Source organism: Homo sapiens, chromosome 4 (assembly GCF_000001405.40).
Source record: "Homo sapiens chromosome 4, GRCh38.p14 Primary Assembly".
In the NCBI taxonomy this organism is placed as follows: Eukaryota; Metazoa; Chordata; class Mammalia; order Primates; family Hominidae; genus Homo; species Homo sapiens.
In genome coordinates this window covers 85088361-85101744 of record NC_000004.12, presented here as the reverse complement: position 1 = coordinate 85101744, position 13384 = coordinate 85088361, and the positions used below count along the sequence as shown (strand labels likewise).

Here is a 13384-nt window from a genome sequence, read left to right as displayed (position 1 = left end):
AGCCTCACCTAGCTACTCCCTTCTCCTTTGCTACTCTTTTCTTACCTTTCTACTCCATCCTCACTTTGCACTTCAGCTTTCTTTTCTCCTTAAAACTGCCTTGTCAAATAAGAACTTTTTCCTTGAACTGTATTTTAAAATTTCTTTACTGGCTTATTATAGTAAGACTCTTATAATTCATTCCCTATGATTGCTGTAACCATAAACTTGATGACTTAAAGCAACATAAATTTATTCTCTTACAGTTTTATAAATCAGAAGAGACTTCTGACTATTGTTACTCTAGTATTTTCCTTCACTTTCATGGTGGTGTTAACATTCACCGTATCATTCACCATATTCATAATGTGGTACCATGCATAATTGAATAAGGGACTTAAAATTTTCCTGGGATTCATCCAGAAACAAAACACTCTTGTTTTATCCGTTGCTCTCTCTATTCATAATGATGAATTATATGGTGAATGTTAACACTACCGTGAAAGTGAAGGAAAATACTAGAGTAACAATAAGAAAAAGAACTTCTGTAATAAAGACTATCATTAAAATAATCATTTCTTAAAAACAAGTTTCATAATCTCAACAAGGGCTTTACAGTGAATATATTTAAAGAGCTTCATAAACTTCATTATGCACATCAAAACACCCAAGTCAGAGGGTTTTATGAAAAAGTCATTTGCTTTTTACTATCAAAAAATCTAAGCTCACTTATAAGAGGATTAATGCAACATTTTCTATGTATACAAGGTGTGATTTAAGTAAAACCATGGAGAAATAACAGTAGGTCAATATATACCATCCAGTGTTCTAAAAACATAACCTTTTTCTTTCATCTTTTTATTTTAATTAATACAAAAATCAGGTGCATATTCTCAAAGTAAAGGTTAAAAATAGCAAGAAAAAGTAAGGAATTTTTTTTTTAAAAAGGCAGACTGCCACATGCAGCACCTCATTTGGATGTGTCTGGAGTCTTGGAAGCTTGACTACCCTACGTTCTGCTACAAATTGACCTTGAGAGCTTATTTGGAGGTTCTAGAAGGGGACATAGCTACTCATATACCCTTGACTGAAGACCAGTCCTTCTCTCTCGGGGATGGTCGTCCTCTTTGACCGAGTGCACAGCTTTGGTAGGGATGCACATGGAGTGGTGAGGGAAGAAGGGGACATCTGCCTAGCCAGCCAGATCAGCCAAATCAACCCTGCCAATCAATGGGGCGAAAGATATTGCAGCCAGATTGCCCTCACATCCAGAAAAATTTTTTTGAATGTCATTCAAAGATGTCTTTCAGGAAATTCTGTGTACTTTTAGGCAGACATGTTTTGCTCTTTAATTTACATCTTTATTCTTATAATGGGTCAGCTTGTCAGCAAAATGTAGGTACAAACTTTCATAGCAGTATCTTTTGTAGCAATATTATCCATGCTCTTAAGAGGCATAAATATGTCCCCTTCTAAGAACTTGTCTGGCATTGTGAATAACAGTCCTATCTCTAGAGTCACAGTGCTATGTAACCTTCAACCCCTCTTTGCTCCAGTTTCTTTATCTATAAAATAAGGATGGTATTGACCTCTTAAGGTAGTTGTACAAAAGAAAGTACTTAGAATAGTACCTGGTAAATTATAAGCTCTTAATAAATCTTAGCTATTGTCATTATCTCTGCTTTTGATTCACTAGCTTTTTAAAAATAAGAAAACTCTGGAATGATGATAAACTATTGATCTTAAAATAAATTATAGTGAATCCATTTACAGTACATGCACTCAACAAATTCAATGGCAAAAATAGACTACCTTAGTAAGAAGGAAACAGATCAATGAAACAAAATAGATGACATAAATATGGTTAGGTGACAAAGATACAACGACACTTTCAGAAAAGAAGGATAGCCTTTTCAATAAATAGTGCTGCAGCATTTGGACATCCATAAGCAAAATAAATAAAGAAACAATCTAAATCTTACACCTTATACAAAAATGAACTCAAAATGGACCATAGACTTTAATATAAAATCTGAAACTATAAAGTTTCTAGAAAAAAAAATACACAGGAGCAATGCTTTGGGATCTAGAGCTAGATAGAGTTATCAGAATTGATACCAAAGCCCAATCTATAAAAAGAAAATCTTATAAATTCGACCTCATCAAAATTTAAATATTTTTTTCTGTGAGAGCTCGTGGGAAGAGAACGTAAAGACAAGATGCAAACTGGGAGAAAATATTTGCAGATTAGCATATCTAACAACAGACTATTACATAGAATATATAAAGAATGTGCAAAACTCAACAGTAAAAAAGCAAACTATTCAATTAGAAAATGGACAAAGGATATGAAGAGACAATTCACCAAGGAGCACACACAGATGGCAATTAAGCACATAAAACAATGTTCAACATCATTATCAACTAGGGAAATGCAAATTAAAGTCTCGATGAGATTTCGATACACACCTATCGGAATGGCTAAAATTAAAAAGTGACAACACCAAAGGCTACCAAAGCTGTGGAAAAACTGGATCACTCATACATTGCTGGTGGGGCTGTAATATGATACAAACACTCTGGAAAATAACTTAGCAGTTTCTTATAAAGCTAAACACTCAATTGCTATATAACCCAACTGATACGTTTTCGCTGTGTCCCCACCCAAATTTCATCTTGAATTGTAGCTCCCTTAATTTCCACGTGTTGTGGGAGGGAGGCAGTGGGAGATAATTTAATCACAGGGTGGTTTCCCCCATACTCTTCTCATGGTAGTGAATAAGTCTCACGAGATCTGATGGTTTTATAAGGGGTTTCCCCTTTTGCTGGGCTCTCATTCTCTCTTGCCTGCTGCCATGTAAGATGTGCCTTTTGCCTTCTGCCATGATTGTGAGGCCTCCCCAGCCACGTGGAACTGTGAGTCCATTAAACCTCTTTTCCTTTATAAATTACCCAGTCTCAGGTATGTCTTCATCAGCAGTGTAAAAATGAACTAATATACCAACAATTATACTTCTGAGCATTTATGCCAGAGAAATGAAAATTTGCATTCACACAAAAATCTATTCATGAATGTTCTTAACAGTTTTATTCATAAAAGCCAAAAACTGGCATTAGTCCTGATGTCCTTTACCAAGTGAATGATTACACAAATTGTGGTACATTCACATTATGGTATATTATTCAGCAATAAAAAGAAACAAATTATTAATATACATGACAACCTAGATGATTCTCCAGAGATTTATACTGTGTGAAGAAAGCCAATTCCAGAAGCCTACATTATGTATGATTTCAACTATATAACATTCTGGAAAAGGTAAAACTATGGAGACAATAAAATGGTTAGTAGTTGCAGGGGTTGTTAGGGTGAGAGAGGGATAGTTGGAGTACAGATGTTTAGGACAGTAAAACTATTTTGTATGATACCATAATGGTGGATAAATTTCACTGGACATTTGCCAAGCTCCATAGGTATACATACAACACCAAGAGTGAACCCTAATGTAAACTATGGACTTTGGGTAATAATCATGTGTCAATGTAGGTTTCTACGTTCATAGACTGACAAATATAGTACTGTGGTTCAGGATGTTGATAGCAGGAGAGTCTGTGCATGGGAATTGGGCAACAGAGGTTATATGGGAGCTCTCTATACTTTCTGCTTAATGTTCCTGTAAACGCAAAATACTCAAAAAATAAAGTTTATTAAGGAAAGTTTACACTGTGTTTATGATTCCATTTATATAACATTATTAAAATGATGAAAGTATGGAAATGAGGGACAAAATTTTAGTGGTTATTTAAAGAGTATGTTGGGGCAGTAGTGAGACAGGTATGATTACAAAAAGGCAAGAGGAGAGATCTTTGTGGCATTGGAACTGTTCAATATCTTGACTGTGCTGGTGGATCATAAACCTACAAGATGATAAAACTGTATAAAAATAAACCCACACAAACACACACATGAATACATGTAAAACTGGGGAAATTTGAATAAGACTGGTGGATTGACTTAATGCCAATATCCTGGTTGTTAATACACTATAGTTGTTACCATTGGGGAAATGGAGCAAAGTGTACAAGAGATCACTCTGTATTATGTATCGCAATTGCATGTGAATCTATGATTTTCTCAATTTTTAAAAATTTCCTACCTTAAATTCTCCAGCAGATTTTAATCCATTTGAGTTTATTTTTGTACATAGTGTAAAATAAAGGTCCACTTTTATTTTTCTACATATGGATATCCAGTTTTCCCAACATTATTTACTAAAGAGACTATCCTTTCTCCCTTGTGTGTTCTTGGCACCTTTGTCAAAGATCATATAAATGTAAATGCACAGATTTGGATTTCTGGGCTCTCTATTTTGTTCCATTGGTCTACAAGTCTGTTTTTATGCTAGTACCATACTGTTTTGATTAGTATAGCTTTGTAGTATATTTTTAAATAAAGTAATATGATGCCTCCAGCTTCACTCTTCATGTTCAAAGTTGCTTTGGCTATTTGGCATCTTTCATAGTTTCATATAAATTTTAGAATTTTTTCTATTTCTGTAAAAAGTGCCATTGGAGTTTTCACAGGGATTGCATTGAATCTGTAGATTGCTTTTCTCCAGCAGGTTTTAAAAACGACAAGAGAAATTTGCCATAGCTTTCTTAATTTTACTGCAGCTAAAGTGAATATTGACCCTGCAGCTAAAGTCATCAGTACATGAAAATGAGGTGTTTCTACTCTTAGAGAACATAAAGCTATTCTAGCCTTGGAAGTTACCTGGTGTCCCAGCAGCTAGGACTTGCCTTGCTTCACCCTGTGAGATTTCTCATCTTCCCTTCCAGAGATCAAAGGAACCAAAGTCCACATAGTCAGGTCACACCAGTATTTGGTGGCTCGCAAGCTTTGTTGATATTACTGAAACATCTATGAAAATGATCTGCTTAACTAGGTTGAAACAGCAACTTATGTTCCAGGAGAGAAAAAAATATGCTAGGGAAAACTATATTATAATGATGCAGCCAGCCACCAACAATGGCATGAAGCAGGATACAAAGAGAATTGGAAACAGCTATGGAGAATTTTCTTCTTTTCAGCAACCAAAGGGGTGCACATCTGACATTCTCTTAGAAATTAAAAGAATCAAGCTGGATGCCTCTAAGGTATTCACTGTGCTTAAAACTGAATTTCATTTGAACCATGAAATTGCATTTACTCTCTAAAGTGTAAAATGTTAAATATTTTGGTGGGATTTAATTGATCCCATTTGATAAGAAGTATCAGACTCTGATGCCAATAGAAGAAAAATTTTGAATATTAAACTAAGAAACATCAAAGAGTCAGAGCATTAATGAAAGAACAGGTGTGGATCAAGGGAGGGAAAGAGAAAGAGAGACTGGTTCACTGTTTGTTTTGAATTTTCATTTTCTTATGTTTTTTTCCTTTTTCTTCTTCTCCTTCCCCTCCACTTCCTCTCCACCTTATTTTTACTTTAAGATTCCTCATTCAGCCAGATCTCCCAAGTTTTACCTTAGTGGTTCATCTCTGGGCTTCAGACATGTCTAAATTTTCTGATAGATTTTGACAGACTAGGGGGAAAGAAATGGAAGAAGGAAATATAGAAATCTATTTGCATTCAGGACTGAGAAGCAAGCCCCTTGGGAAGGAATACATGCAAGGAATATAAATGATTTGGCTGAGCAACAAAACCTTCATCATTGGCATGGAGAAAGCATAGTGTTTCTCATAAGCCATCTGTCTTGACCTATGGACTCATATCTCAGTCCTAATTTTGTGTATGTGTGTGTGTATATATATATATGCATGCATGTATATCTTTTTATATATGACCTTTTCACTAAAATCTCTAAAGTCAAGACGGCACCACTGTGGTATCCATGTAACAAGAGAACCTAAAGTAGGAAAGAGACACTCTCCTTACCTTTTCTGGGGAAAGTTAAGTATGGCCAAGGGCCCCACAGTGTGCTGAAGGCCTCACATAGTGTGATACTGCCTTAGAACACCCAAGGGCAATGTTAGTACTTAGTGGTTGTGCCTAATAGGGGACTGTGGATACCAGATGCAACTAGCAAAATGCCTTTGCATAGAGAGTAATAGTTTAAAGGGATATATTTGTGAGATCACAGGAAACATCCTGGAGATGCCAAGAAATGTATAGAAGAGATGTGAGTGGTAATGGAAATCACAAAATAACAGGTAGTAAAAAATCCTGCAGGTGGAAATAAAATAACAAGGAGAAAAATAAACATAATCTACTGTAATTAATGTAAGTACATTTTTGCCTGTAAAAGCTAGTGTAGCTCAGGGAAATACAAGTCTCATGTGCATACAATTTACTTTCACTTAACAAAGAAGGTACTGAATTGGAATAATTGACTATAGTCACTTCCCAGATCTACTTCAGCAAACCCTAGTTATGTCTTTTTATTAATTACATAGTTAGCAAAATATAGTTTTCTCCATTGACAGGTGTCTATGTTGGCCTATAAATGTGCTTGTAAATAAAAACTTCATAACATAATCCTATATATACAATTGATTGACTGTCAGCAATAAATTCAAAGCAGCATATAACATGCCATCAGCTGCCCAGTAGATGTAATCTTTTACCTCTGAGCAAATTATCTGTAAGATATACTTCAAGGTAGAATATAGAAGTTCTTCATTAAAAGTACATTCAGGTCATACTTTCAACACCCACTAATTTGTTCCATAATTTTACCTAAGTATCTCATAAATTCCTTCTTACTAAATGGAAGCATTTATTAATTTCCATGGCTACCTTTGGTCATTATTTTCACACCTGAATTGCACTCTTTTAATAGCATTCTTTTAAACGTCAGTCCTTCCTTTGTTCTATTTCATGCCCTCTTGCTTTTGAACTATTTTATCCTTGAAGAGTTTTCTTTCATATACTTTTTTATACTCCAAACTTTATCTGCCTTAGTCATGTTCACCTTTCATTTCCTCTCAGAATAAGTACTGACCTTATTTTTTTTAGTCTCCAAAAGGAGCTATGACCTAAAGATATTTTATCATCACGGCTGTCTTTATTGATGCTTTGTTACCATTCCTGTCATATAAGGTTCAGGATTACGCGAAGAGTTCCAAGTGGGATGGCTTCCCAGCCCTTTGAAATGCTTTTATAATGATACGTTGCAGAGATCCATTAGCCTTCCTGATTATTAAGATGCTACTGCTTTGTTTCATTTCACCATAAATTTTTGTTGCTAATATTTCCTTACAACTTGTTATTTTCTTACACATTTTTCCAGGCTTTTACCTGATCTGTTTCTTTATTCAAAAAGATTCCACATGGTTTCGAATATGACATATAGCAAATGCAGTGACAAATACACTTTCTTTAGTAAAAAAATTAGTAAAAAAAATGCTCCAAAAGGTTCTGTTTTCTTAATTCAGTCAATTTATATAAATCTTTTTCTCGCCAAAATGCTACTTGGTTGTCCTCTACATGGTATTTTCACAAAGAAAACAAGTTCCAGGTAAAGGTAAAAGGGAATAAATGGAAATAGTATGGAATTATCCCTCCTATTAGAAGAGGAGCCCAGTAAATAATATTACTGATTATCAACTAGTAGAACCAGCTCTATATGAAGAGCATATTGTGTGGACTTTTCTGGAAGCATTTATGTGATTTGAAAGTGTTTACATAGAGTACAAAAAATCTAAAACTTGCAACTAACAAATAGCCTAAAAATTCAGAGAATTTATAGTTGATTATCAACTTTGGGTTTTGACTGGCTTCATGTTGGTTTTTATTTTACAGTTCTAAGAATCAGGTAATGAAACCCTCAGGCACAAATCAAGGTCACAAACAAGTTGGTCACGCAACTGAAATGAAAAGTCACAGCAGCCATGTATGCACAGCAGACAATCCTTTGCCTTATTGTCTTAGAACACTGCCAATTTTGCTTTCTTGTTCACGTTTCAAGAAGAAATGCCAATTAGTGAACTCTGAGGTATGTCATCTTCTTTTTCCTTCCTCACCAATTACCCTGAAACTAACAAGCTCAAAATTATTTATCACACCTACATCTTACCTGCAGTGTCCAAAGCAAAGGAAAAAGATATCTCTGGACACTGTCCTAGAAATATAGCAATAGTCTACTCGCACAGGTAAAACAGGAACAAACCAGCAAAGGGTCAAAGGAAATAACCCATCTCCCTGCTTTCTTTCTTTTATATGGATTTACCTTTTCCTCTTTCTCTTCCCACTGTCAAACATGCTTATCTAAGAAAGTTCCTGCAGAGATATATCTCTTTTTAATGGAAACGCCTTCAGCCATTTTGGTGAACTTTCTTGAGAGTTGGAGGAGGGAGGGCGTGACTTGTTCACATTCATAACCTCAGCATGTAGCACAATATTTGCCATGTAACAGGCACTCAAAAATGTTAAATGAATAAAATATAGTTTGTGCATGCTTGCTATAGTCTGAATGTTCTGTGTCTCCTGAAATTCTTATGTTAAAGTCCTGACCCTCAAGGTGATGTTAGAGGCTCTTTGGGAGGTGATTAGGTCATAAGCCTTCATGAATAGGATTAGTGCCCTTATAAAACAGGAGCTAGTTCCCACGTTTTCACCACATGAGGACACAAAAGGTGCCATCTGTGAACAAGGAAATGGGTCCTCAGACACCAAATCTGTGGCTCTTTGATCTTGGACTTCCCAGACTCCAGAAGTGTGAAAAATAGATTTTTGTTGTTTGCAAGCTGCCCAGTTTATGGCATTTTGTTATAGCTGCCCAAATGAACTAAGACAATACTATAGCCACTTTTAAATTATGCTTACATTTGACATTTGACATCTCACCGGCAAATTATTGTAAATATGCCAAATACAGGTAATGAAATCATATTATATGACTTCTGATTTTTCTCCTCTGGGTTGACTATCATGTTTCACTCATTAAGACTTCTCTCACCTGTGCAAACTCCACAGAAACATGAGCTGAAATCACTACGAGTAGCATAGTGGTTAAGAGTGCTAACTCTGGAGTCAAACTGTCTGGATTCCAATCCCTGCCCTATTTACCAGCTGTTGGCCTTAGGCAACCCAATTAATTGTCCCATGTGTCAGTTAATCTATCTGTTATACTACTACCTACTTCATCAAATTTTATGAGCATTAAAACAGATAATGTTTACATATCGTTTAAAATAGTGCCTGATACATAAGAATTATATAAATTTTTTTTATTATACTTTAAGTTCCAGGGTACGTGTGCAAGAATTATATAAATGTTTTTTAAAAGTTGTCTTCTAAGACATTACCATCAGTTAGTTAACTAAAAAGAATTTAGTATGTGTTATAGGAAACAGAATGCCATAATAGGCTACTAAGTATCTCTATGAAAATATTTCATGCCAAGCATGGTGCAATGGCTCACGCCTGTAATCCAGCACTTTGGGAGGCCAAGGCAGGAAGATCACTTGAGTCCAGGAGTCCAAGATCAACGTGGGCAACATGGTGAGACCCTCTCTTTACAAAAAATGTAGAAATTAGCTTGGTATGGTGGTGCACACCTGTGATCCCAGCTACTCAGGAGGCTGAGGTGGGAGAATTGCTTGAACCCAGGAGTTTGAGGCTGCAGAGAGCCATGTTCACACCACTGTACTCCAGCATGGGTGACAAAGCAAGACCCTGTCTCAAAAAACAAGAAAATTTTGCATGCAAAATGTAATATCTAATCAGTAGATCCCATCAAAATCTGAGAATAATTGACTGCATGATGGTGGGGATAAGTCATAAAACTAAATTTTTCTTCCATATCTTTCTATTCACACTCACTTAAATATTTTAAAGTAGTATTTCTGCTTAAATTGTGGAAATGCTTTTTGAGGCATGTTATTTCTCCTTGCCAAATGGAGGAGGCTTTTGCTCTGACAACATGGAGAACAAGATATGCTGAAAAATCCTTCCAAACAAAACACCATGTGAGATAACTTATAATAAAGAGTATTTAAAATATGTAGCTAAGAACACAGAAGGTTAGGAAAATCGTCAGAGGCCACAAAATGAAGAAGATTTAGGGATACAATGTGATATATTAGTACTTGAATGACTCCTGAGGGCATATGCCAATTCCTGGAATATGAAGCTTTAAAACTTAAGGCTAGATGGGTGGTTTAGAAAGAAATTTGTCACAAAATAGCAATACTTATTATAAAGCTAGTGTATATATGACTGTTTAGTCATGCTGCAGGGATAGAAAACTAGACCAATGGAACAGAAAAAGATATCCAAAAACTAACACACACATCTATGAATATGTGATATAACAGAAGTGTTACTACAACTTGGGGAAATATGATAGATCATAGAAGTTTCATTACAAATTATAAATAAATGGTCTGGAGTAATTGAATAGATTCGTCTTTAAAAAAAAAAAAAAAAAGGTCTGCCCCCTGCCACAGACTAAAATCACTACCAAGCAAATTAAAGACCTATGAAAAAAGCAAACTATAAAGCTCTTAGAATATTATACAGGAAAACATGTTCAAGATTTCAGGGAAGGGAAATATATCATAAACAAGATTTACAAAAACATGGACAAAAATTGCTAACCATAAAGGAAATAATGATAAATTTAACTACGTTAAAATTAAGAACTCTCATTAAAAGACACCATAGAAAGAGGAGGTAAATGAGCCCCAAAGTGGAAAAAGGCATTTGCAACACATATAATCAACAAAGGATTAGTACAGAGAAAACATAAAGAATGCTACTAATTTATGTGAAAGAAACAAACTACCTAATAGAAAACAACAGGCTAAAGATATAAACACGTTTTAAAAACATTTTTATTGCATGTATGTATGGGGTACAAAGTGATGTTTTGATATATGTGTACATTGTAGAGTGATTAAATTAAGCTAATTAACATATCCATCACCTCACATATTTATCATTTTTGCAGTGAGAACATTTAAGATGTACTCTCTTAGCAATTTTCAATATACAGTACATTATTGTGAATGGCAGTCACTATGCTGTACCTTAGATCTCTCTAGATTGCATCCATCCTGAATAACTGAAACTTTGTACCCTTTTGCCAGCATCTCCCCAGACCCCCCATTCTCTAGCCCCTGGTAACTGCCATTCTACTCTCAACTTCTGTTAGTTCAACATTTTTAGATTTCACATATAAGGGACATCGTGCAGTATTTTTCTTTCTGTGCCTGGCTTATTTCACTTTTTTCTCTCTCCTCCTGTGAAAAGAAGAATCTAATTGACCACTACATATACGAAAAGATGATCAACCTCACTAGTAGTCAGATAAATGCAAATTTAAAATGTTGAAATACCATTGCATAAATACCAGATTGTCAAAAATAATAGAAGCCAAACAACATCAAGTGTTGGTGAGACCATCAAGCAAAGAAAATTCTCATGCATTGCATGTAGGAGTACAAATTGCTAAAGCCATTTTGGAAAACGACTTGACATTAACTAGTGTATTAGTTAGTTTTCAAGCTGCTAATAAAGACATACCTGACACTGGATAATTTATAAAAGAAAGAGATTTAATTAACTCACAATTAAGCATGGCTGGGGAGGCCTCAAGAAACTTACAATCATGGTGAAAGAGGAAGCAAACATATCCTTCTTCACATGGTGGCAGCAAGGAGAAGTACAGAGTGAAGTAGAAGAAAAGTCCTTTATAAAACCATCAGACCTCATGAGAACTCACTCACTATCATGAGAACAGCATGGGGGTAACCACCCCCATGATACAATTGCCTTCCACCAGGTCCCTCCCACGACACGTGGGTATTATAGGAACTACAATTCAAGATGAGATTTGGGTGGGGACACAGCCAAACCACATAATTCCACCCCTCACCCCTCCAAAATTTCATGTCCTCACATTTCAAAACACAATCACGCTTTCCCAACAGTACCACAAAGTCTTAAGTCACTCCAGCACTGACTCAAAAGTCCATGTCCAAAGTCTTATCTGAGACAAAGCAAGTCCAGTCTGCCTATGAGCCTGTAAAATCAAAAGCAAGTTAGTTATTTCCTAGATAGAATGGAGGTACAGGCATTAGGTAAATACAGCCATTCCAAATTGAAAAAATTGGCCAAAACAAAGGGGCTACATGCCCCATGCAAGTCCAAAATCCAATTGGGCAGTAAATAAATCTTAAAGCTTCAAAATAATCTTCTTTGACTCCATGTCTCATATCCAGGTTATGCTCATGCAAGAGATGGGCTCCTATGACCTTGGACATCACTGCCCTGTGGCTTTCCAGGGCCCAGCCCCACTCCTGGCTCCTTTCATGGCTGGCATTGAGGATCTGCAGCTTTTCCAGGTGCACCGTGCAAGGTGTCAGTGAATCTACCATTCTGGAGTCTAGAGAATGTTGGCCCTCTTCTCACAGCTCTACTAGGCAGTGCCCCAGTGGGGACTCTATGTGGGCTCCAACTCCACATTTGCCTTCCACACTGCCCTGGCAGAGGTTCTCCATGAGGACCCTGCCCCTGTGGCACACCTGCCTGGACATCCAGGCCTTTCCGTACATCCTCTGAAATCTAAGCCAATGTTCCCAAACCTCACTTCTTGACTTCTGCACACCTGCAGGCCCAATACCATGTGGAAGCTGCTAAGGATTGGGGCTTACACCCTCTGAAGCAATGGTTTGAGCTGTACATTGGCCCTTTTTAGCCACATCTGGAGAGGCTGGGACACAGGGCACCAAGTCCCAAGGCTGCACACAGCAGGGGGGTCCTGGACCTGCCCCACAAAACCATTTTTCCCTCCTAGGCCTCTGGGCCTGTGATAGGAGGGGCTTCTATTAAGTTCTCTGACATGCCCTGGAGACATTTTACCCATTGTCTTGGTGATTAACATTTGGCTCCTCATTACTTATGCAAATTTATGCAATGGACTTTAATTTCTCCTCAGATGATGGGTTTTCTTTTCTACAGCATCAGGCTGCAAATTTTCCAAACTTTTATCCTGTGCTTCCTCTTGAATGTTTTGCCACTTAGAAATTTCTTCCACTAGATACCCTAAATCATCTCTCCCAAGTTCAAAGTTCCACAGATCTCTAGGGCAGGGACAAAATGCTGCCAGTCTCTTTGCTAAAGCATAACAAGAGTCAGCTTTGCTCCAGTTGCCAACAAGTTCCTCTTCTCCATCTGAGACCACCTCACTGGACTTCATTGTTCATATCACTATCAGTATTTTGGTCAAAGCTATTCAACAAGTCTCTAGGAAGTTGCAAACTTTCCCACATTTTCCTGTCTTCTTCTGAGCCCTCCAAACTATTCCAACCCCTGCTTGTTGCCCAGTTCGAAAGTCGCTTCCACATTTTCAGGTATCCTTATATTAGCACTCCACTCTACCAGTACTAATTTACCATATT

The 13384-nt window shown here is 36.6% G+C and overlaps 1 pseudogene; it reads right to left on the bottom strand.

The window, feature by feature from the left end:
* Positions 924-1249, bottom strand: RN7SKP48 (RN7SK pseudogene 48; annotated as a pseudogene).